Below are 24645 nucleotides of genomic sequence, written 5' to 3'. Positions count from 1 at the left end.
TATTGTATGGATATACCACATTTTGTTCATTCAGTCACCAGTTGATGAACATTTAAGTTGTTTCTACTTTTTGGCTATTCTAAACAATGCTGCTATAAACATTCATGTTCAGGCTTTTGTGTAGACATATTTTCATTTACAACTTGATCTGCAACCCCAGTTTTTTGTCATAGGCAGAATTCTAAGATGGCCACTATCATTTCCACCCTCTAGTATATATACCCTACATAATCCCCTCCACTTGAGTGTGGGCAGGACTTGTGAATATGGATGGGATAACACTCCCCTGATTTGATTATGTTACATGGCAAAGAGAAGGGAATTTGCTGATGTAATTAAGGCACTGAATCAGTTGACTTTAAGTTAATCAAAAAAGAGATTATCTTGGGTGGGTCTTATCTAATCAGGCAAGCCCTTTAAAAGAGGGTCCTGTCCTTTCTTGAAAGAAAGGTTCAAAACCAAAGAGATTCTGTTTCTGGCCTTGGAGAAGCAACCAATCATGTTAATTACCTATAAAAGGGGTCACGTGGCAAGGATCTGAGGATCCTTCTGGAAACAGAGTAGTCCTCAGCCAACAGCCAGCAAGAAAACAAGGATTTCAGTCCTACAATTGTAAGGAAGTTTTTGGGCAATCAGTGAGTTTGAGAGAGGGACCCCAAGTCTCAGATGAGATTGCAGCCCTGGCTGATATCTTGATTTTTATCTTGGTGAGCTCTGGAGCAGAGAATGCAACTCATCTGTATCTAGATTACTGACCCACAGAAATAGTGAGATAATAAATGTATGTTGTTTTTAGCCACAAAGTTTGTGTTAGTTTGTTACGGAGCACCATGAAATCAACACGACATCATACTGATGCTTTTGCCATCATACCATTCAGTACTACCTCGATGTACCTGAGTTTCCTTCCTTCTCTGTAATTATTAATACTACCATAATTATTGCAGTTACCTGGGTAACAATAGATCTTTAAAAAAATCTGATTCTGCCAGAGAGGCTCCCTCAAACATAAAGTAAATAATGATTCGGGTTAGTAAGAAATCACAGAATAATGGGTTTTATAGCCAGAGGTATCTTAGTGATATTACATTAATAGACAGATATGAACCCTCATCAGGCTCAGCCTATTAAAAATTGATGTCACACTCAAGCCTATCCACCCCTTTGTAACCCATCTTATTAAAATAATTTTCCAGATAACTAATTTTTCTCATTCACATTCTCTCACCCCACTTCAACATCTTTTAGAATATCTTGAAACTGCAACTTGGAGAGTTTAAGATGAAAACTTTGAAGTGAGTTCTGAGAGCTTAAAAACATCATACTGAGTTATTAATCTATAGCTTTATCATGGGTCTACATGCCACACAGATAAAAAGACAAGTTTTCACAGTTCACTGGATCCTTCATACCAGAGTAAAACCATGGAGCTTTAAAACAGCAAGCAAGTTAGATCTTCAAGAGACTTGAAATTAGGGTATACCTGCTGGGCGTGGTGGCTCACGCCTGTAATCTCAGCACTTTGGGAGGCTGAGGCGGGTGGATCACCTGAGGTCAGGAGTTCGAGACCAGCCTGACCAACATGGTAAGACCCCCGTCTCTACTAAAAATACAAAAAAAAAAAAAAAAGAAAAGAAAGAAGGAAATTAGGGTATACCTAGAAATATTTCTAAGGGATACACATGATGACTCTTGGGATGGACCCAATGCATAGTGTTCAAAAGGAGATGATTCTTATTGTGCCATCTACATGGGGTCCCACAGTCCTACGAAATTCCCACAAGATTATTTTTGTCGAGATAAAGCTGGGTCACTGTTTTATAATACATAGGATTGCCCACAATATTACAGTGAAAACAGATTTGGCATGCCCCCTAAATCCTACAGGTGGTATTGACACATACAAGAAAAGGCAGCATAGTTTAGGTTGGCAGCATAGACTTTAGTGTCAGGTTTAGGTTTGAGTTTTGACTCCGCTGTTTACTAGGTAAGCAATCTTGGGAAAGTTCTTTAATGTCTGTAAGTCTCAGGTTACATCAGCAGAAAAAAATGGTAATTATAATAATAGCTACCTCATACAATATTGGAGAGGATTATATGATCATGTATGTAAAGCAGTAGCTACTCCCTGTTACAGATGAAGCACTCGATAATTAATAGCTGTTATTATTATATATGAGGATTAAGATATTATTTTGCATGATATGCAAAGAAACCAGCTCATTTACAAATTTGTAAAAGATTTTTTTTCCCCTGGAGGTTAAGCATTAAAGTTTACCAAAATCTCTAAATTTTTATTAAGTTAAAAAATAACTAAAACTTTGCATTCATTTTTAAAATTTAATTTTTATACAAACAACTATTATTAAAACCCTCTATGGCATGGTGACAAGGAGCATGGGCTCTGGAATCAGACCTTCTGGATTTGGATATCATCTCTACCACTTCCAAACTACTTGGGCAAGCCCAGAGCTTTCTTTTCCTCATTTGTAAGGTGGAGATTATAACAGAAACCACTCTTTATGTGCGTTGAGTGGATTAAATTCGATGATACAACTTAAAGCACCCAGTGCAGTGCAGTGCAGTGCTTAAAACAGAATAAATGCCCAATAAATATTCCCTTCAAAAAAGGGAAAAAAAGTGATAAACATAACTTTAAAACAACTACTTATTTTGTGCAATGTTCTCCTAAAATCTCAATAGTAATAAACATGTGTGTATGTGTTTATATATTCATACATATAAATGTATATATATGTTTGTTTCTTCTTTATTCAACATTATTTCATATATACTTTCCCATATACAGTATCAACGCAAGTACATACATATACTTTTCAAATAATAGCTGTTGAGGTATTTCGTTGAACTGCTTTTGGAATATTTGGAATTATTTTCAAAAGTTGCACTGGTCATGGTGGCTCATGCCTGTAAATCCCAGCCATTGGGGAAGCTGAGGCAAGAGGATCACTTGATGCTTGGAGTTTGAGACCAGCCTGGGCAACATAGCGAACCCCATCTTTAAAAAATTTTTTAAATATATGTCAGGCACTGTCGTACACACCTTAGTCCCAGCTACTTGGGAGGCTGAAGCGGGAGGATCCCTTGTCCAGGAGCTTGAGGCTGCAGTAAGCTGTGATTGCAACACTGCACTCCAGCCTGAGTGACAAGAGCGAGACTCTGTCTCTAAAAAATAAATAAACAAATAAAGTAAAACGACAGAAAAAGTTGCTATTATTAATAACACTGATATAAACATCTTTATGCAATGCACCTTATTTTGGGGGAAGGGTAATTTTGGGCTGCATTTTTTAAAGTGTAAACCAGGTTAAGAGGTATACAATAGAGACAAGAGGGCTAACTGACAACATGTAAGAGACACTACCCTACAGACTCCAAACACAGACAAGTTGGTTAAAAGTAGCAACAAAAAGCCCCAAAGTTTTTAAAAAATGCATAGTTGAGCTTGAAAGCAAACAAAGGAAATGTCTAGAGGTTAGAAAACGAAGAGGAAAATCAAACCTATTTATCGCCTCTTCCTTACAGACTCCACCAAAATAACATAAAAGAATAAAACAGAAATAAATCCACAAGGATAAAGAGACTAGGATTAGAGAAGGGCAATGCCGGGATCTTCAACTAAGTCATTATTTTTAAGATCTAAGGCAGGCTGGGCATAGAGGTTCACGCCTGTAATCCCAGCACTTTGGGAGGCCGAGGCAGGTGGATCACGAGGTCAGGAGATCAAGACAATCCTCGGTGAAACCCCGTCTCTACTAAAAATACAAAAAATTAGCCGGGCGTGGTGGCATGCACCTGTAGTCCCAGCTACTCAGGAGGCTGAGGCAGGAGAATCGCTTGAACCCGGGAGGCGAAAGTTGCAGTGAGCTGAGATTGTGCCACTGCACTCCAGCCTGAGCAACTGAGTGAGACTCCATCTCAAAAAAAAAAAAAAAAAAAAAAAATTTAAGGCAAGTATCATAAAATCTTAAGCTATGACTAAGCTGGGTTGTAGGTACATGGTGATTACGTTTTTCTTTGTAATTTTCAGTTATGATTCAATATTTCCAAATGTTAAAAGTACATGGAAAATAAGTTAGTTTCAGAAAGTGATACGTGCTCTAAAAGTGCCTCTCAGACTTGAATGTGCATATGAACAACCTGAGGCATTCTAATTAAAATTCGGATTTTGAATATTTAAGTCTGGCATCGGGCTTGAGATTCTGCATTTCTTTTTTTATTGCTATGTAATAGCTGTACATATTGTTGAAGTACATGTGATATTTTGATACATGATGCATATGATATCATAAACAATATATACAACAAGGTAATAATCAAATAAAGAAACATTTAGCTTTTCTTTATGTTGGGAACATTCTCTTTCTTCCAAATGTGGTGTACATACACAATAAAATATTGTTCAGCCATAAAACAATGAAATCCTGTCATTTGCAGCAACATTGATGGAACTGAAGGTCATCATGCTAAGTGAAATAAGCCAGGTACAAAAAGACAAATACCACATGTTCTCACTCATATGTGGGAGCTAAAAAAGTATATCTCATGAAGGTAGAGGGTAGAATAGTGGTTATCAGAAGGTAAGAAGAGCAGAAGGGAGGGGACAATGAAAAGAGGTTGGTCAATGGGTACAAAAATGTAGTTAGAAGGAGTAATATCTAGTGTTCTATAGTACAGTAGGGCAGGTGACTATAGTTAACAACAACTTACTGTATAGTTCAAAATAGCTAAAAAAGATTCTGCAGTTCTAACAACCTCTCAAGTAATGCCAATGCTAGTGGTCCATGGATCACATTGGAATAGCAAGATTTTAAGGGAAATAACACAAGGCAATGGTGATACAGAGTGGTGGGGACAGGGGGTGGCCTCTTCAGATAAGGTTCTCTTGGAAAGCTTCTCTAAGCAGGTGACATTTGTTTTGAGACCTGAAAGATAAGAAAAAGTCATTTAAAAATCTACAGGAAAGATATTCCTGGTAGAGGGGAAAGCAAGTGGAAAGGTCCTGAGGTGAGAATAAGTTCTGGTATTTTTTAGAAACAGAAGACCACTGTGGCCTTCTTAAATTGCTCAAGTGTTTCTTCCACATTTCAGGTGTTATTAAGTGAAAAGAGCACTATGTTTGGAGTCATAAAACCTAGGTTTGGTCTCCATCCCATTAGCTCTGTGGCCTCTGACCTAGTCACAACTTTTCTTAGCCTCAGTTTCCTCATAAATATGGGCATATTAATAAATAATACCTATCTTCCATGGTCGATGTGAGGACTAAATGAAATAAGGTATGACAAAGCGGATTGTAAGTTACAAAATACTATACACATTTAATTATTGCATACATAAAGTGCTATCATGTGATCTGTGGTTGTAGCAGCTATTTATAGCAGCTTTTATTGTGTATACCTCTGTCTCTTTAATTTATGTCAGACAGTTATGTGTCAAGTTATTACAGGCTGAGTTGGCCTTTTTGTTGCTGCTCTTCCCCAGCAGTGTGCAACTCTTATTATGCCTCACGTTCTATTTCTGGGTGCCCTGGAAATTTTCTTCGGCTTATTTGGCAAATAAATATTTGCCTCACTTTAGCTCATCATAGAGTAACAACTTGGGTATTTCAATGTTATTCACACTTTTTGATCAAAACAGTTGGCTTACAATGAGCACTACTTTTGGAAAAAAATAATTTGGCTCCATTCAAAGACTTTACAACTGGGTGGTAAGATTCAGTGGCAATATTCAGCCCTAAGAGAAATCATTAGTAGAGTCTAGAGTTTCTCTAATGTATACTGTAGCTGTCTAACACAGAATAGATGCTGAATAAATATTTGTTGATGACAATATAGTCATTAATATGAAGCCATTACTGATCTACTGTCAACAATACAATAATAAGCTAGAAACATCCAATTAGTCACTAAGTCTTGCCAATTCCATCTCCTAATTGCCCTGCAATCGATCTACTGCCACTGCTACTGCTAGGTTGAGGCCTTTATTTTATGACTGAACTATTGCATTAACTTCATGACTTCAATATGAACTCCGTCCAATCCAACCTTCTCACTTAAGCCAGAGTAGCTTAATGGACATATAAATCTGATCATGTTACTCTCCTGATTAAAACTCTTCACTGGTTATAGGATAAAGTATTAACTTCTTAGAATGAAATAGAAGGCCCTTTACCATCAGGTCTCTGTTCACTCAGGTTAACCTCCTACTACTTTCCCAAACTCCATAGACTCCTGAACCTGAAAATATTTTCTTATGCCTTCTTGCTTTTAACATGTCATCTTCTTTACGTGTAATTCCAGTCAACCTCTTCAACTTGAATTCTATTTTTCTTTAAATAACTAGCTCAAGCATCCCCTTGAATGAATCCCAGAACAAAAAAGCTAACTGCATGGGCTACAGATTTCTGTTTTTCTTTATCAGACTTACTAGTCCAAAGTACCTCTTCATAAGAAGTCCATAATTATTTGTCTCTTTTGTGTGAAAAGTTGGAGAATGCAGCAGTGAATATAAAATTGCAACTGCATTATTGTCTCCGGGGTTTCAGGTAACATTTACAACTGGAAATGCAGTTTCCTAGATAACTGTAAACATATTTTGACATTTTGTTTGATAATAGTGGTGACAAAAGAATATAAGCCTGTCTTTAAACATGGTCTTCTCTCCATACATTTCACTTTACCACCCTTCAGCCAACCTAAGCGATTTTTCAAGAATTAGGGACGCTGCAAAAACCAAAGCGAAGAGCTAGAAAGAGTGACAAAATTAGTAAAGATGTCTGTAGTCTCTCTGTGTGTGTGTGTGTGTGTGTGTGTGTGAGACTGTCCCACGAGCAACAGACCAAAGGAAAACTGCCCCAAGGTTTGCGCAACAGAGAACAATCAGCAAAGTTAAAGTCCTTACAGGACAGAAAAGCAGTAAATCTTACAGCTGAAGCCTCCTCCCAGGGGAAATTAACGTCTGTAGTTTAATCTTTCCTTAATTCAGAAGGGAGTGAAGATAAGAATATGCATAGGGAAAATGGAGAGAGGGGAGCGTGACATTGAGTTGGAGGAGGTAAGAGAGTATTATGAGAGACAAGATGGGGTTGACAGATTTAGCAGATACAATATTTGGGACACACGCACGAAGAGATGATTCGTTGTTTATGTAAAATTGAAACTTAACTAGGTAGGCATCCTGTATTTCATCTGGCAACTCCAGGAAAAGAGAAAAATACAGTGTTACTCCAATATTCCCGGTTGTGTAAGGAAAACAATCAAAGCTCGGCCCTAAGGAAAAACAAATAAAAGAGGCTGTGCGAATGCATCCGAATCTTCAAACAGAATCCATTTCCGGTCTGGGGCCCTGGGAAAACAAGAAGAGGAGAGACAATTAAGGTAGCCGAATTCAGTCCGCCAGTGTCCCATAATCCTCTTCTCTCGGTTCCTCTTTCCTCGCTCAAGATGGCGCTGCTCGCGATGCATTCTTGGCGCTGGGCGGCCGCGGCGGCTGCTTTCGAAAAGCGCCGGCACTCCGCGATTCTGATCCGGCCTTTAGTCTCTGTTAGCGGCTCAGGTCCGCAGTGGAGGCCACATCAACTCGGCGCCTTGGGAACCGCTCGAGCCTACCAGGTGAGATGCCACTGACATGGAAGAATAGGGTGAAGGGCAAGGGGACCTGTAGGGAAAAGGTTGCCCTCCTGACCTCGGGGCAGAGAGAGCACCAAGAAGAAAGTCATGGCTAACTGGGAGCAGCAGTAAGTGAAGGAAATTAACGTCAGTAATTTGAGGAAAGGGCGAAGAAGAAAACCTTTGAGTTCAGCAAAGGGAAACGGGGCAGGAGGTTCTGGGCAGAGGACACCTGGAGCGCTGGAGGCTCTCGGAGTCATAGTTTTTCTCTCATATTAAGAGTTGGGGTAGACACCATTCCCAGCCTGCTTGCCTTTCTAAAGACGAGGAAGACTGGATTATTTTCCCCAATTAGTAATGGAATTTGGGACAGTTTATCTGTGGTTCAGATTTTACTCAGTTGGAATTAGCAATTCGGAGAGCACTGTAATGACAGCAAGCTATCTATAAACAGGTGGCGCCAGTTAACTCCCTTGCTGACAGGCGTGCTTCTTGATAGGCCAAAACCGTAACTATCTTTCCAAAACATAGACCGCCCTAAATTCTTGTATAAATATGACTGTCCTAGATCTGAAAAATACAGTGATGTTCTCTGTGCACAGGTCATTTTGGAAGCCATAGGCTACTTATCCTTAACTTATGAATGTAGCTATGGTTGTAGTGCCTCCTAAAATTTGAGTCCATTATTACCTCTCACTCAGGAACGGTTTTTTAAAAAATTATTTGTACTTAACTGTACTAAAGTATATCTTTTTATTTTCTGTGTATTGACAAGAGGTTTAATTGCCACCACGTATTTATCACTATCACTTTAAAATATTGTCAGTTTTGTATGAGAAACAACCTCTTAAATTTTGATTCTTCATCTACAAATATTTAACGTCTACCTTGTACATAGCCCTGTGCTAGATGATAGGGTACTAAGAGAGACATACAGTTATGCCTTCAAGGATTGTACAGTTTAGTTAAGGAGATTGGATCTATGCATTACAAAAATAACTGAAAAACACAGTGGTGGGTTAATTAGCAAATGAATAGTATGTACAATAAAGGCTATAGGCATCCAGAGGAAATAGTGATAATTAAGGACCAGGTTATAAAGAGTATTTCATGCTGGTGATAGAACTGGGGAGAATGTTCTGAACAGGGAGAATAGGGAATGACACTAAGCATGTGGAAGGCTGATGGAATGACATTTATAATTCATTCAGTAATTATTGAACACCTCTACAGGAGCAAACAAAATATAAGTCCTGTCTTTAAAGAGCTTAAAATCTAGTGGGAAATATGTAAATTAATCGGCAATTAAAATATAGTGGAGCTGTGTAATAATGGGAAAGGTACAAGGTATGGGACAGTATATGTGAGGGGTATTAAGTCTAATTGTAAGGTAGTGAAGATTGCCTTAAGTAACTGATATCTAAGGCAAGAGCTGAAAAATTAGAAGTTAGCCAGTTAAAGAAGGAATCGCATGTGCAAAGGCCCACAAGTCAGAGAGAACATGGACCTTTTCTAGAACTGCACGTAGTTTAGACTGTAGTGAGTCATTCAAGATAGGAAATAGCAGATTAGGCTAACGAAGCGAATCTAGATGATTTCATTAAGGTTTTTAAAGTATTTTATGGTTGAAAGTTTCTAACACATGATCTCTTGGGAATGGTTTTTGTTCTGTAGTTCTCCAATAAGGCAGATGAAGTTAAGATAAAATTTGTAAATGTTATCTTAGATAAAATTAGATATCTTAAGATAAAATTTCTTAAGCTGGAAGAATGAGGGGGAAGAGGGAAAAGGAGAAGTTATTAGGAATCTCAGAGGAGGCAATGGCAATACAAATTTAGCTTTCTCTCTTTCCATGAACGCTATCTCCACAACTTCCTTCTTCCACTCTGTCCTTTACATCCTACCATTTCCTTTAGTTACCATTTCCTCAGTGTGCAAAACAAGGGAAAGATGTTACCTTTGTTTTCTGTTTCTTAAAGGCATGGAACTCTTGCCATCCTTTTTTTAAAACAGGGTGAGAAAGGAATGATTACAAAGTTTTCAAAGTAGAAGCTGAGGTAACCTGAGGTACCTGCAAATTTGTGACTTGTGATTAAGATTACAAAATAATTACTGAATTCATACTTTTAGGACGATCATTAGTATATAGCATAATATTTTAGAGCTGAAAGGAACCTTAGAGCAGTGTTATGAAATAATGTTAGTGGGTTGGATTAGCACTTTTTTAGATGAAATTCAGTAGAATATAAAGAAAATAGCAGTGCTTTTTACATCTTAAGTGAAGTATTGTTTCATGAACTTTTATGTGTATATACACACACACATATATATTTTATATATATATATACACACACACACACGCACACACACACACACACAGTCCCACATGTATGTGATTACTGGAATTCATTGTAAGTATTTCTCACCCAGTATATGCCCTAGACCTGGGTTGTGGAATATGGTAGTTCTTTTGGATAGGTACTGTTTTGTTTTCATTTGTTGGTCTGACCTCATGGACCAAGAATGGGAGCTTTAATTTCTCCCAGTAGCAAGTTCCACCTTCCTACTCTTCCACCATTGGCTGCTAAGAGTTAGCAGAGTAGATAAAAATTAAAATACTTTACTCCTGGCTTTCATATTAACTGAAGTGGGAATATAATAACAACACTAGGGAAATAATCCTCCTATTCTATATTTTAGAGGTTCTAGTTCATATTTAAATTTAACAATATAAGATGCCTATGAAGAAACTACAGTGATTATTCAACAGTCGTCCCAAAATATACTAAAAGAATAGAAAACAGAACTTATTCATCCTGGCTAACATGGTGAAACCTCGTCTGTACTAAAAATACAAAAAAAATTAGCCGGGCATGGTGGCGGGCTCCTGTAGTCCCAGCTATTCGGGAGGCTGAGGCAGGAGAATGGCGTGAACCCGGGAGGCGGAGCTTGCAGTGAGCTAAGATCGCGCCAGTGCACTCCAGCCTGGGCGACAGAGCAAGACTCCGTCTCAAAAACAAGCAAACAAACAAACAACAACAACAAAAACAGAACTTACAAGAGAAATAAGGGTGTCTTTAAGTGGATTATAGATCATGGAACTGAAAAGGGTGAGAGGTGATTCAGTGACATTTAAAGTACCTGAAGCGGCCTGGCCCAGTGGCTCATGCCTGTAATCCTAACACTTTAGGAGGCCAAGGCAGGTGGATCACCTGAGGTCAAGAGCTCGAGACCAGCCTGACCAATATGGTGAAACCCCGTCCATACTAAAAATACAAAAAGCAGCTGGGCATGGTCACGTGCACCTGTGACTACAGCTACTCAGGAGACTGAGACAGGAGAATTGCTTGAACCCTGGAGGCGGAGGTTGCAGTGAGCCGAGATCGCGCCACTGTACTCCAGCCTGGGCGACAGAGCGAGACTTCCTCTCAAAAAAAAGAAAAAAAAAAAAGGACCTGAAGGGGTTATTTGTAGTTCAGTGATGCCTAAACTTAACTGGAACATTAGGTTATGATACAAAGATGTGGACTTCATTTGCAGGAAGAGGGATTTAATGTGCATATGAGAAATAATTTCTTAGACTAATAGTCTATCTTAGTCTGTTTGGGCTGGTATAACAAAATACCATAAACTACATGACTTATAAGCAAGAGCAATTTATTTCTCACAGTTCAAGGTGCTGACAGATTTAGTGTCTGGTGAGGTCTTGAGGTTCATAGGCGGTGCCTTTTAGCTGTGTCCTCATGTGGTAGAAGAGACAAGGCAGCTCTTTGGCCCCTCTTATAAGGGAACTAATCCTGTTTATGAGAGCTCTACTCTCCAAGTCCTAATCACCTCCCAATGACTCCACCTTTTAATACCATCACATTGGTGATTAAGTTTCAATATAGGAATTTTAGGGGGACACAAATGTTAAAAGCATAGTCCTTTTATTAGGAGACCAATAAAGACTTTTAAAATTATTAAACAATAATTTGCTGTCATTAGAAAAATACGAGCTGTTAGGAAGCAGCCAGCTTGGTTTTGAAAAGAGCAAGACATACCAAACCAATTATTCATATGAGTGAGTGACAGTCTATCTTGATTTCAACACGGCTTTTAATTGTCCCCTACATTGTTCTCACACAGTAAGCTTGGAAGGAATGATATTGAATACTATTAAGAGGTCTTGAGGTAGGAGTAAGCCTTACTGTAAAGAAAATACAGATGACTTAAAAGATTTTTATTTCTAAATGTTAAAAATAATGAAATAACTGGTGTGCAAAGGGCATAACTTGGTATTGTGGGATGAACACTGGACCAGGACACTTGACCGCCTGAGCTCTATTTGTACTGTTAATTATCTTGGACACATAACTTGTTCTTTTGGACATCAGATCCTGTAAACTAGTAATATTTGACTACCAGATCTCTAAGGTTTCTTGCAACTCTCTTGTTTCTTTACTGTAATCCTTTAGGACCAGCCCTTTTTATATAGTACCTCTACTTTGTGATCCTAGTTTACTACTGGTGTAGTATTCAGGAGCAACATAGGGTAAGTTTATGTTCACATGAATTTTTAATGGGACAAATTTGTATTGTTCTTGTCATATTTGTATATCTAAGAGTAGGAATAGAAAAATGTAATTTAATTATGAGCTTAGTATTTGGTAGTGTTGGGAGGATGGAAGTAGTGTGGAGGAAAAAGTAAGCTAGGTTCCGAAATCATCTGGGATGGTAGAAATAGATTCTAAGGGGTGGTGAAGAATAACAGTAATGCTATAAAAGTTGTAAATAAAGATATACCTTACATGGGCTGTATATGGTAAGGAATGGAAAGTGGCACTGGGACTTGAGAAGAGGAATTCAGGGGATTCTTTTTTCAGATATAGTTGAATAAATAACATTCTCTAAGTCATTGACACATTGGTTTTAACTAGTTATTAAGATTATTAGGAAGAGGAAGAAAATTTCATGTTTCTAAACTTTCTTTTAGAACACGAGGCCCTTTGAGAATCTGATCAAAGCCATAGACCTTCTCCCTAGAAAAATATACATACGTATGTGCTTCATTTTGCATGCAATTTCAGGGGAATCAGAAACCTATCCCCTCTTCCAGTCAGTAATCCCTGATTAATACAATATTGCTGGCTGGTGGGTTTCTAATGGTGTTCCTGAGTAGCCAGTGGCAAGATAAAGAGCACTTGTCACTGGGCAGCGGGGTAGAAATAGAGTGGAAACTTACATCAAAATTTTGATTAAATGATAAATGCATAATTGATCATTTAATTATTGTTATACAATTGTTATAAAATTAATATCATTTATTGCTGTATTGTTGTCAGTGTTATCTTAAAGATTTTGCTTTTTCAAAGAAAAGTATGTTCTTTCCCATATTGTAAAATAAGGTATATAATAAGAGATAAAATTGCCCATTCTGTATACGATTCTTATGCTTTACATTGTCCCCATTTTAATTATACAAAACCACATCTAATAAAAACGTCAAGACAGATATCTACAATCCCACATGTTAAATAATTTTTCCTTTTTCCTTTGAATCTCTGTTCTTTCATGTACATAATTTTTACATTATTGGGATAATTTTAAATTCTGTTTTTACTTGTGAGCATTTTTTTTCTTGGTGCTCAGTCTTGACCAAAATTAGGTCTTTTAATTACTTAAGATTTTAGTAATGTTAATAGGTATATATAGTTACCTGCAAAATGTGATATTTTTGTTGTTTTGATTTTCTCCTTCCTTTCCTGAAATCCATCTCCCTGAAGTCCTCATCTGTGCTCTCTTGACTCCCTTGTAGGATTTGCCACTAGTGAGTAAAGATACTTTTCAAGTCTTTATTTAATGTCATTTGGTCTTCACAGTAATCCGGTTAGGTAGATGAACATTTCTTTGTAGTAGCAATGGCCTCTTCTGTCCTTTTCAGTCCCTTAACTTCTGCCCTAGTTTTAGACCCTTATTACTTTATGCATGGGTTTTGTCCCTGCTTTCAGGGACTTGCCCTTTCAATCCATCCTATACAGCACATCTAGATTATTCTTCCTAAGGCATGACTTTTATCCCATCACTTCCCTGCATAAACTTCAGTGGGCTTTATATCTTAGCCTTAAAAATTTCCACCTAACTAGATTGCTAGCCATATTGTAAACTGTTTCTCTACAAATACCCTGTCCCTCCAGTCACCCTATATTGTTCCCTGTTCCTTGGACCATGTGCTTTTTTGTGTCTGTTCTTTTTTTTATGCCACACCCTATGTCTGAAATGCCCTCTCTCTAACTGGTGCCTATTTTTCAAATGTTAGTTCAAAGGTCAGTCCGTTCCCTGAAACCATTCCTTATAAGCTAATAAGACTTTGATTTCTCCCTCCTCTGAACTCCTACAACACTTTTTCCTACAAGTAGTTATGTATCTTGTGGAGGAGATAAGATTTTATGTGCCTAAAATGCTAATATATTCCAATCATCTTTTTGTTTTTATCTTCCACAGAGCTAGGCACGGTATGTTACATGTAATAGGTAATCAGAAAATATATGTAAAATGAATGATTAAACTCTATAACCAAACCAAAGCAAAAATCTAACATAATAATTAATAATATTTGCTCCACTGCTATACATTTGGAATTGAAAGCTAACTTTCTTCAGGGCAACCTCATAAGTTTGTCCGTTGCATTTCTGTCATTAGGCATATGGTACCGTGGTGGAGTAGCATCACTGATTGTTGTCAGTTTTAGTTCAATAACCAAAGCACACTTACTTTTTATCCTAAAATTTTTGAGTTACTTTATTTGTGAGCATCATTTGCTAAGATAAAGTGACTTACAGGATAACATTCTTTGAGGAATAAGATATAAAAATTTGCTGTTTGTAGAAATTTTAACTGCACACTGTATTTTGGGATGTTCATTAGTCCTCTGATTAAGTTTTCTTTACAATATCTAGAGAGGGATGGATATTAAAGTAGGGAAACCGCATCCTAAGGGTATAGTTCCTTAGGTGCTGATGTTTTGGGAGAGCAACTTTTAAACTTCTGCTTTTCAAAGCATATTAGAAAAAGACAAGGTGAAGCTTCGATTTTGGTTTACTTATAAAATTGTTTTTACTGATCTTGAGTAACTTATACTATAATATTGTAATATATTCATATTTTTGAGTGCATGAATGTTTGCTAAGTATGAACTCTTTCTTCAACTACTCTGACTGTAGTGACTTAATAACTGTGCATGTACATGTGTGCTTGCCTGCTACGTTTGCCATAACACCACAGATTGGGTGGCTTATACAACAGAAATGTATTTTCTCACAGTTCTGGAACCCATGAAGTCCAAGATGAAGGTGTCAGTAGAGTTGATTTCTTCTGAGGTCTCTCTCCTTGGCATGTAGATGGCCATCTTATACCTCTGTCTTCACACTGTCTTTTCCACTGTTTGTGTCTGTGTCCTGATATCCTCTTCTTAGAAGTATACTGGTCATATTGGATTAAGGCCCACCTTAATGACCTCATTGAACTTTAATTACCTCTTTAAGGGCCCTGTTTCCAAATATAGTCACATTCTGAAGTATTAGAGGTTAGGACTTCAACATATAAATTTGTGGGGGTGGGGAGTACACAGTTCAGACCATAACAATGTGTGTATGTGTTTGTATGTGTGTGTATGTATATGCAAATACATAGAAAATTGGAAAGATATACTCCAGTCTGGTAAAAGTGGTTACCTCGGGGGTTGGGGGGGGGTTTGGGATGCTAAAAAACAAACAAAAAAAATTTAATTTGCTATTATGGATACACAGACATAGTTTGATATACTGTACTTGTTTTTACAATGAGAAAAATATTTCATGTTTAAGCTTTTCAATTGATGAACTGACCTTTTTGAGTAGGTTATATTATGTTCATTTATTTGAAGTCCAATTTGTTTTGTCTGCTAGTAGTAATGCATTTTATCATCTCTGTAACTTTTATTTTATTTGTTTATTTTTTATTTTTTATTTTTTTGCGATGGAGTTGTGCTCTGTCACCCAGGTTGGAATGCAGTGGCACAATCTTGGCTCACTGCCACCTCTGCCTCCCAGGTTCAAGCGATTCTCCTGCCTCAGCCTCCCAAGTAGCTGGGATTACAGGCGCACACCACCACACCTGGCTAATTTTTGTATTTTTAGTAGAGATAGGGTTTCGCCATGTTGGCCAGGCTAGTCTCGAACTCCTGACCTCAGGTGATCCGCCCACCTCGGCCTTCCAAAGTGCTGGGATTACAGGCCTGAGCCACCACGCCTGGCCTTGTAACTTTTATTTTAAGTTCAGGAGTACATGTGCAGGTTTGTTACATAGGTAAACTTATGTCATGGAGGTTTGTTGTACAAATTATTTTATCACCCAGGTATTAAGCCTAGTAGCCATTAGTTATTTTTTCTGATCCTCTCCCTTCTTCCACCTTCCACCCTCTGATAGGCCCCAGTGTGTGTTGTTTCCTTGTATGTGTCTATGTGTTCTCATCATTTAGCTCCTACTTGTAAGTGAGAACATGTAGTACTTAGTTTTCTGTTCCTGTGTTAATTTGCTAAGGATAATGGCCTCCAGCTCCAGCCATGTCACTGCAAAGGACGTGATTTTGTTCTTTTTTATGGCTGCATAGTATTCCATGATATATTTGTACCACATTTTCTTTATCTAGTCTGTCATTGATAGGCATTTAGGTTGATTCCATGTGTTTGCTATTGTGAATGGTACTGCAATGAACATACGCATGCATGTGTCTTTATAATAGAATGATTTATATTCCTTGGGGTACATACCCAGTAATAGGATTGCTGGGTCAAATGGTAATTCTGTTTTTCATTCTTTGAGGAATTGCCACACTGCTCTCCACAGTAGTTGAACTAATTTACACTCCCACCAACAGTGCATATAAGTGTTCCTTTTTCTTCATAACCTCACCAGCATCTGTTATTTTTTGACTTTTTAATACTAGCCATTCTGACTGGTGTTAGGTGGTGTTTTGTTGTGATTTTGATTTGCATTTCTCTAATGATTAGTGATGTTGAGCATTTTTTTTTTTGTGTGCTTGTTGGCTGCATGTATGTCTTCTTTGGAAAAGTGTTTTTTTCATATACTTTGTCCACTTTATGTTTTTTTTTCTTGTAAATTTGTTTAAGTTCCTTATAGATGCTGGATATTATTAGAGCTTTGTTGGACGCATAATTTGCAAAAATTTTCTCCCATTCTATAGGTTGTCTGCTTACTCTGTTGACAGTTTCTTTTGCTATGCAGAAGTTCTTTAGTTTAATTAGACCTCATTTGTCAATTTTTACTTTTGTTGCAGTTGCTTTTGTTGTTTTTGTCATGAAATCTTTTCCCGTGTCTCTGTCCTGAATGGTATTACTTAGGTTGTCTTCCATGGTTTTTATACTTTTGGATTTTACATGTAAGTCTTTAATCCATCTTGAGTTAATTTTTGTTTATGGTATAAGGAAGGCTCCAGTTTCAATCTTCGGCCTGTGGCTAGCCAGTTATCCCAGCACCATTTATTGAATAAGGACTCCTTTCCCCATTGCTTGTTTTTGTCAGGTTTGTTGAAGATGATATGGTTGTAGGTGTTAGGCCTTATTTCTGGAGTCTCTATTCTGTTCCATTGGTCTGTGTGTCTGTTTTTGTACCAGTACCATGCGGTTTTGGTTACTGTAGCCTTGTAGTATAGTTTGAAATCAGGTAATGTGATACCTCCAGCTTCATTCTTTTTTCTTAGGATTGCCTTGGCTATTTGGATTCTTTTTTGTTTCCATTTGGATTTTAAAATAGTTGTCTCTAGTTCTGTGAACAATGTCAATTACCATTGACATTTAATAGGAGTAGCATTGAATCTATAAATTGCTTTGGGCAGTATGACCATTCTGACTATATTGATTCTTCCTATCCATGAGCATGAAATGTTTTTCCATTTGTTTGTGTCATCTCTGATTTCTTTGATTAGCGGTTTGTAGTTCTCCTTGTAGAGATCTTTCACCTCCTTATAGTTAGCTGTATTCCTAGGTATTTTATTTTCTCTGTGGCAATTGTAAATGAAAGTTTGTTCCTCATTGGTGCTTGGCTTGATGGTTGTCGGTGTATAGGAATGCTAGTGATTTTTGTTTTTATTTTTTTATCTTTTTATTTTAATTTTTATTTTTTTAGAGCCGGCCTTGACTCACTGCTAGTGATTTTTGCACATTGATTTTGTGTCCTGAGACTTTGCTGAAGTTGTTTATCAGATTAAAAAGCTTTTGGGCTGACACTATGGAGTTTTCTAGATACAGGATCATGCCATCTGCCAACAGGGATAGTTTGACTTCTTCTCTTCCTATTTGGATGCCCTGTATTTCTTTCTCTTACCTGATTGCCCTGGCCAGAACTTCCAATACTGTGTTGAATAGGAGTGGTGAGAGAGGGCATCCTTGTCTTGTGCTGGTTGTCAGGGGAATGCTTCCAGCTTTTCCTCATTCAGTATGATGTTGTGATGTTGGCTGTGGGTTTGTCACATACGGCTCTTCATATTTTGAGGTATGTTCCTTCAATATCTAGTTTATTGAGAGTTTTTAACATGAATAGATGTTGAATTTTATTGAAAGCCTTTTCTGTATCTATTGAGATAATCATGTGGTTTTTGTCTTTACTTCTGTTTATGTGATGAATCACATTTATTGATTTGGGTGTGTTGAACCAACCTTGAGTCCTGGGGATAAAGCCTACTTGATTGTGGTGGATAAGCTTTTTGATGTGCTGATGGATTTGGTTTGCCAGTATTTTGTTGAGGATTTTTGCGTTAGTGTTCATTAAGGATATTGGCCTGAAGTTTTTTTTGGTGTTGTGTCTCTGCCAAGTTTTGGTATGAGGATGATGCTGGTCTCAGAATGAGTTAGGGAGGAGTTCCTTCTCAATTTTTTGGAATAGTTTCAGTATGAATGGTACCAGCTCTTTGTACATTTGGTAGAATTCAGCTGTGAATCTGTCTCGTCGTGGGCTTTTTGTGGTTGGTAGGCTGTTTATTACTGCCTCAAGTAAAGAACTCATTATTGGTCTGTTCAGGGATTCAATTTCTTCCTGGTTCATGGAGATCCTCCCATACTCTGAGCGATCACTCCTGCTTGTGGGACATAGAGAAGACACCAATATCTGAGATGGCCAGCACCCCATCCCAGAATAAAAAAGTCTTTAATGCATTTATAAAGCATTCCTGGAAGTATTTGCTGCTTTTAAATGTAACCAGTTTTTGGTTGTTACTTCATTGCGGAATTGGGAGATTCTTTGGAAATTGAGTCCTAGTGTTTCCTATTCATTTCAGTGGTTTCTCCTCTTGCTGTGCATATTTGATTCTGCATATTTGATTCTGCCTAATAAAGAGCTATTTATACTTAGGTTTCTTTTTTTCAAAATCAAGTTTTTATATTAAAAAAAATTACAAAAACAGTACAAACCCACTACTGAAAGATTAGAAAATACAGAAAAGCCAAAAAAAAAAAAAGCAGCTATGCTAATAGGTCAGTATAACCTATACTTTTAATAATACCAGCTAATATTTTTATAGTGTTTTAGTTTACAAAATGCTTTAAAATTTTACTTTTTCTTGCTTCTACCTATTTATTTAGTGGTTTTCACCAGGATTAGAAAAAAGGCTCCCTATTGATTAGAGCTTTACTCTCTAATATAGTAGATACTAGCCATATGTAGCTATTTAAATTGCAATTAAAATTAAATTAAAGATTTAGTAACTTAGTCATACTAGACATAATTCAAGTGCTCAATAGCCACATGTGGCTAAGTAGCTATTATATTTCACCACACAGAATATTTCTGTCATCACTGAAAGTTTTCTTGTACATGGCCATTCTAGAAAGTAATTTTAAGTAGGGAGTGACATTATCAAATTTGTTTTAGGGCTGTGATTCTGGGTGCAGTTTGAGGGAAAGATTAGAAATAGGCAAGGATTGGAGATAGGGACATTAATTAAGAGAATATTGAAGTAATATAGGAGAGAAGTGATAAGTGCCTGCATTGCCTGTCATGAGGTAGCATTGTCAAGATTTGTCACCAAGTATTCTTGTATCATGGAAAGAAGACAGGGCTTTGAAGCAGGAGAGTGTTACCTTATCTTAGTTATTTTATCTCAGTCTCAGTGTTTTTAGACTATAAATGGGTATTTGAATAAAAATTTTCTTACCCATCTGATATGGTTTGGCTGTGTCCCCACCTAAATCTCATCTTGAATTATAACTCCCACAATTCCCACATGTTGTGGGAGGTGATTGAATTTTGGGGACAAGTCTTTTTTTGTGCTGTTCTCGTGATAGTGAATAAGTCTTACGAGATCTGATGGTTTTATAAGGGAGAGTATCCCTACACAAGCTCTCTTTGCCTACCATCATCAATGTGAGACGTGTCTTGCTCCTCCTTGCCTTCTGCCATGATTGTGAAGCCTCCTCCACCATATAGAACTGTAAGTCCATTAAACCTCTTTTTCTTCCCAGTCTCGGGTATGTCTTTATCAGCAGTGTGAAAATGGACTAATACAGTAAATTGGTACTGGTAGAGTGGGGCACTGCTGAAAAGATAACTGAAAATTTGGAAGTGACTTTGGCACTGGGTACCAGGCAGAGGTTGGAACAGTTTGGAGGGCTCAGAAGAAGACAGGAAAATGTGGGAAGGTTTGGAACTCCCTCGAGACTTGTTGAATGACTTTGACCAAAATGCTGATAATGATAATGGACAATGAAATGCAGGCTGAGGTGATCTCAGACGGAAATGAGGAACTTATTGGGGACTGGAGCAGAGATGACTCTTGGTATGTTTTAGCAAAGAGACTGGTGGCATTTTGCCCCTGCCCTAGAGAATCGTGGATCTTTGAACTTGAGAGAGATGATTTAGGGCATCTAGCAGAAGAAATTTCTAAGCAGCAAAGCATTCAAGAGGTGATTTGGGTGCTGTTAAAAGCATTCAGTTTTAAAAAGGAAACAGAGCCCTTTGTGCTTCCATAATCCATTGCTTTGATAAATAGAGTAAATCTATTTAAATAAACCTATTGTAAAACTCTTTGAAACAAATTCTTAAATGTTACTAGCTTAGAGTATGGTCATATATGTAAAAACAGTAAAATCAAACTGTATTCTGTTTCTAGAGTTTATCACCACCTAATACAGCTCTATGTTTACAAAAAGAACATGCTACCAGTCTTTTAACAAACACTTATTGGGCACCCGCCATTTGGCAGACATTCTACTAGGCACCGGGGCTATAGCCGTGAATAAGAAACAGCCTTGCCCTCCAGGAATTCACAGTTTGAAGGAGAAAACAGGTAGGCAAACCAATACTTTAAGGTGTGGTAAATGCTTTTGTAGAGCGACGTGCAGGATTTTATATGAGCCCGGAGATGGGGAACCACCTTCAGTCCAAGGAGGTCAAGAAATACTTTGCAGGTGAACAATTTATAGATGAATATTGAAGTCTTGTGGGTAGATGTTGGACTGGTGGATGAATGGGGAAAGGCTAATTTAAAAACACCTTGGGGGGAGATTCTTTGAAAGTATGCAAACATCATATTTCTTTCTAAACTTTCAGTAGCTAATTTTAGCATGCATCAGTGGATCTTGTCTGCAATTATTACTATGGTGTTTGCCTAATTACAGTTGGCCCTCCATATCCATGGGTTCCGCATCTGTGGATTCAATCAACTGCAGGTTAAAATATTTGGAGAAAAAATGATGGTAGCATCTACTGAATATTTACAGACTTTTTTCCCTTGTCATTATTTCTAAAACAATACAGTATAACAACTATTTATATAGCATTTACATTGTATTAGGTACTACAAGTAATATAGAGATGATTTAAGGTATACAGGAGGATGTGCATAAGTTATACATAAATACTACACCATTTTATATAAGGGCCTTAAGTATCTGTGGATTGTGGTATCTATAGGGGTTCCTGGAACCAGTCTCCCACAGATACTGTGGGACAACTGTCTGTTTTTCTGTTTCCCTCATTCCTTCTACATTTGTTAATTGGAATTTTTCTGTAAGGAAGAGATGTCCCTTCTCTCTCATTTAATCATTAATTTATTTATACCAGGATGGACCCACAGATGTTAATTATATTCTATGAGTTAAAATCCATTACATTAATTATATATTTTGTTGCTCTGTTTTTCCAGGTTTGGGCTATTGGGAGATCCTTTTAGGTTGGCTCCTGTTTCGTTTGGACATGCCCTCATCTTTTTACAAGCATTTCTTTACTTTCTGGCATCACACAATGCTCCAGGTTCATCTTATATTTTCCCTGCACTGGCCCTGAAATCAGCCCCCTTTCTGGAGGGCGGTTTGTCAGAATGAATCAAAAACCTTAAAAAAAATTTCACCCTCTTTGACCCAACAATTCTACTTCTAAGAAACTGTCTTAAGGAAACAATCAGGAAAGTGCACAAATGTTTATAAGTTAATATACAGATACTCTTTACTGTGTTATTTGTAGTGCTCAAAGTTGAAAACAGCTTTTGTATCTGACACTGGGATTGGTTAAATAAATTATGGTTCAGCCATCAGTTCACCAATCTTGGAACTGATGTTTTTCAACAATATTTAATGATGGGGAAAATGCATATGATCTAATATTCAGTGTAAAAAGCAGTCTAAAAAATTCAGTAGGCCAAATGATTATATTAAAAAAAAACATAAGCAAGAAACAGCGATTTAAAAAGAAGCACACCCAAATATAAAAACATTGTTTATCTCTGGATGGTAGGATAATGGGTGACTGTTATGTTCTGTCATCTTCTCTATATTTTCCAAATTTTCTACAATGAACCCAACTTTCATTTTTGTGATGCTGAAATACGTTACAGTAAATATGTAGTTTGAGCCCAATTATTGTCTATTCTTTGCTGTGGCCTTTAAGTTTCTCAGCGAAGCAGCTGCCAGAACCTGAGCTGCTTTCTGTCTCCAAAGCTTGGTTTAGAATTAAAAGATGCTGAATTGATATCTTTTTTAGAGAAAAATGAAATTAAAAAATGCCAACATATTGACAAGAGGTGACTTTAGCTCATCTCTCATGTGCTCCACTTTCATCCCGAAGACATGAGAGTTAAGGGTTTTTGTCTTTGTTTTTAACCTTATGAGATTATGTCCTGGTGATAGAACTTCTACTTCATTCCACAACTCTCATGGGTAAAATTAAGAAGAATAGAGAGATTTGGTGGTATAAAAGGATGAGAGAAACATTTGGTCTTGGTTTGTATTCTCTTCTAATTTTATTTTTGACTCTGAGTGTCTTTTCATGTCCTTTTCACATCCTGCCTTTAAATTAAAGAGCATATCAGAACAAGGTCAGAAAGTGAAGGTGGGAGGAAACCTTCACTCCCAATCCTGTCCTAGCCTTTTATCCTGGTTGTCTATAAAGGAGAGCAGAGACCTTCCAGATGGAAAATCCATTCTTATCCTGGGAGTAGATAAATGGTCATATCACTTCTTTTCATTGTTTTAAGGTTTAATTTTATCATATTTAATTGTTACCCCATTAATGGTTTATTTTAGTGTATGGTATTAAGTAAAGATCTCTTTTTTCCCATACTGATTTTAATATGAAGAATTTGTCAAACAGTAACTTTATATTTGGATTTGTTTCAATATTTGGTACTTGATCTCATTAATTTCCCTATCCATATGTCAGTACCACACTGTTTCCTTTATTAGAAACAGGGTTTCACTGTATTGCCCACGATGGACTTGAACCCCTGAACTCAAAGTATCCTCCTGCCTCAGCCTCCCCAGTAGTTGAACTACAGGCATGCACCACCACACTCAGCTTCACACACCATTTATTTTACAATATAATGTAATATCTGATAGAATAAGTTTCTCCTTCCCAACACACTTACATTACTCCTCGTCTCCAAAATTTTCTTGGCTTGTCTCACTAGTTTATTCTTCCAGAGGAGCTATTAAAATAGTTTTGTCAAGATCTCCTTTAAAAATCCTGTAGAGATTTCTATTGGATTTCATTAAATCTATTAATTTGGGGAGCATCAATATCATCATATTATATAATCTAGTATTTTTCTCCATTTAAATTTTCTTTTATGTACTTTGGTAAAGTTTTGTAGCTTTGGTCATATGTGTCTTAAACATTCTATACAAATTGATTGCTAATATGTGTATGTACAGTTGATATTGTGACAGTCTAATCCATATTATATTTTCTATAAACTAAGGGCATCTTCACAATGCATTAAAATACGCAGAACTTTTGTACTAGCCTGTATGATTATACACTTACAGATTAAAAGCTTATATGTAGAAATCTGCCTAGATAACATCTATGAGAATCATTTGAGGAGGAAAGGAATTAAGTTAAATCAATGTTTATATGAGCATTTCTCTGAGAAGCATTATGAAGTTTGGCATGGCAGATATAAAGAATCCAAAGACATGTGACCTGCCTTCATTGAGTATATAGAATAATTCAATAAAATGTAATGTGAGTTTAAACCTAAATAAAAATAAAGAAGACTTCAAGAACAGTTCAGAACCATATAAGAGATTACATGATTGACCAGTGAGTTTTGTAAACAGGTACTACTCTCAGATGAGAGAGTTACTTCAGGCTTGGAGAAGAGAGTGATGTGGAAAGGATTTAGGAAGGTGGTAAATTTTGACTGACATCTTGAGAGATGATTAGAGAAAGAAGAAGGGAGAAGACATTCTAGGCAAGATAACTCATGTCAGCAAATGTGCAAAGTGTGTTTGAAGGTTAGTGAATACATCAGTTCGAATAAAGTGTTCATGAAATAGAGATGGGAGAGATATGACTGAAAAGGTCAATTGGTGTCAGATCAACATAGAACTTAAATACCATTCCAAGGGTGTTTGGAGTTATTAGGGAGCTATTAGATAATTTTGAGCAGAGGGAATAAGGGTTTGAAGTGTTTTAGGAAGATTAATCAGTGGTATACAGCAGTGGTTCACAAATGTGAACCTGAGATTAGGTGCTGAGCTAGCTG

At 37.1% G+C, this 24645-nt stretch overlaps 2 protein-coding genes across 6 annotated transcripts in view, besides 1 other annotated feature; one reads left to right on the top strand and one right to left on the bottom strand.

Annotated features, from left to right (window-relative positions):
* The window catches only part of UPRT (uracil phosphoribosyltransferase homolog), a 148529-nt gene extending 141162 nt beyond the window's left edge, over nucleotides 1–7367 (bottom strand). Inside the window, exons 1-2 of the mRNA NM_001363821.1 lie at nucleotides 7186–7367; nucleotides 3065–3186 (exon numbers count right to left, since the gene is read on the bottom strand). The gene's annotated coding sequence lies outside the window, so the exon portion shown is untranslated. The remainder of the gene's footprint in view (nucleotides 1–3064; nucleotides 3187–7185) is intronic.
* Nucleotides 7343–7772: an enhancer, noted in NCBI's record as "active region_29770". NCBI's record gives its function as "activates an Ori minimal core promoter by ATAC-STARR-seq in GM12878 lymphoblastoid cells {active_cell/tissue: GM12878}" and the evidence as "EXISTENCE:reporter gene assay evidence [ECO:0000049][PMID:35858748]".
* ABCB7 (ATP binding cassette subfamily B member 7) overlaps nucleotides 7453–24645 on the top strand; it is a 105236-nt gene continuing 88043 nt past the window's right edge. For all 5 annotated transcript variants that reach the window (NM_001271698.3, NM_001271697.3, NM_001271696.3 and 2 more), the window contains exon 1: nucleotides 7453–7631. In NM_001271698.3, the coding sequence (NP_001258627.1) occupies nucleotides 7464–7631 (168 nt within the window). In that variant the 5' untranslated portion in view covers nucleotides 7453–7463. The remainder of the gene's footprint in view (nucleotides 7632–24645) is intronic.

This window comes from Homo sapiens, chromosome X (assembly GCF_000001405.40).
Source record: "Homo sapiens chromosome X, GRCh38.p14 Primary Assembly".
Taxonomy (NCBI): domain Eukaryota; kingdom Metazoa; phylum Chordata; class Mammalia; order Primates; family Hominidae; genus Homo; species Homo sapiens.
This window is presented reverse-complemented; position numbering and strand designations above follow the sequence as displayed.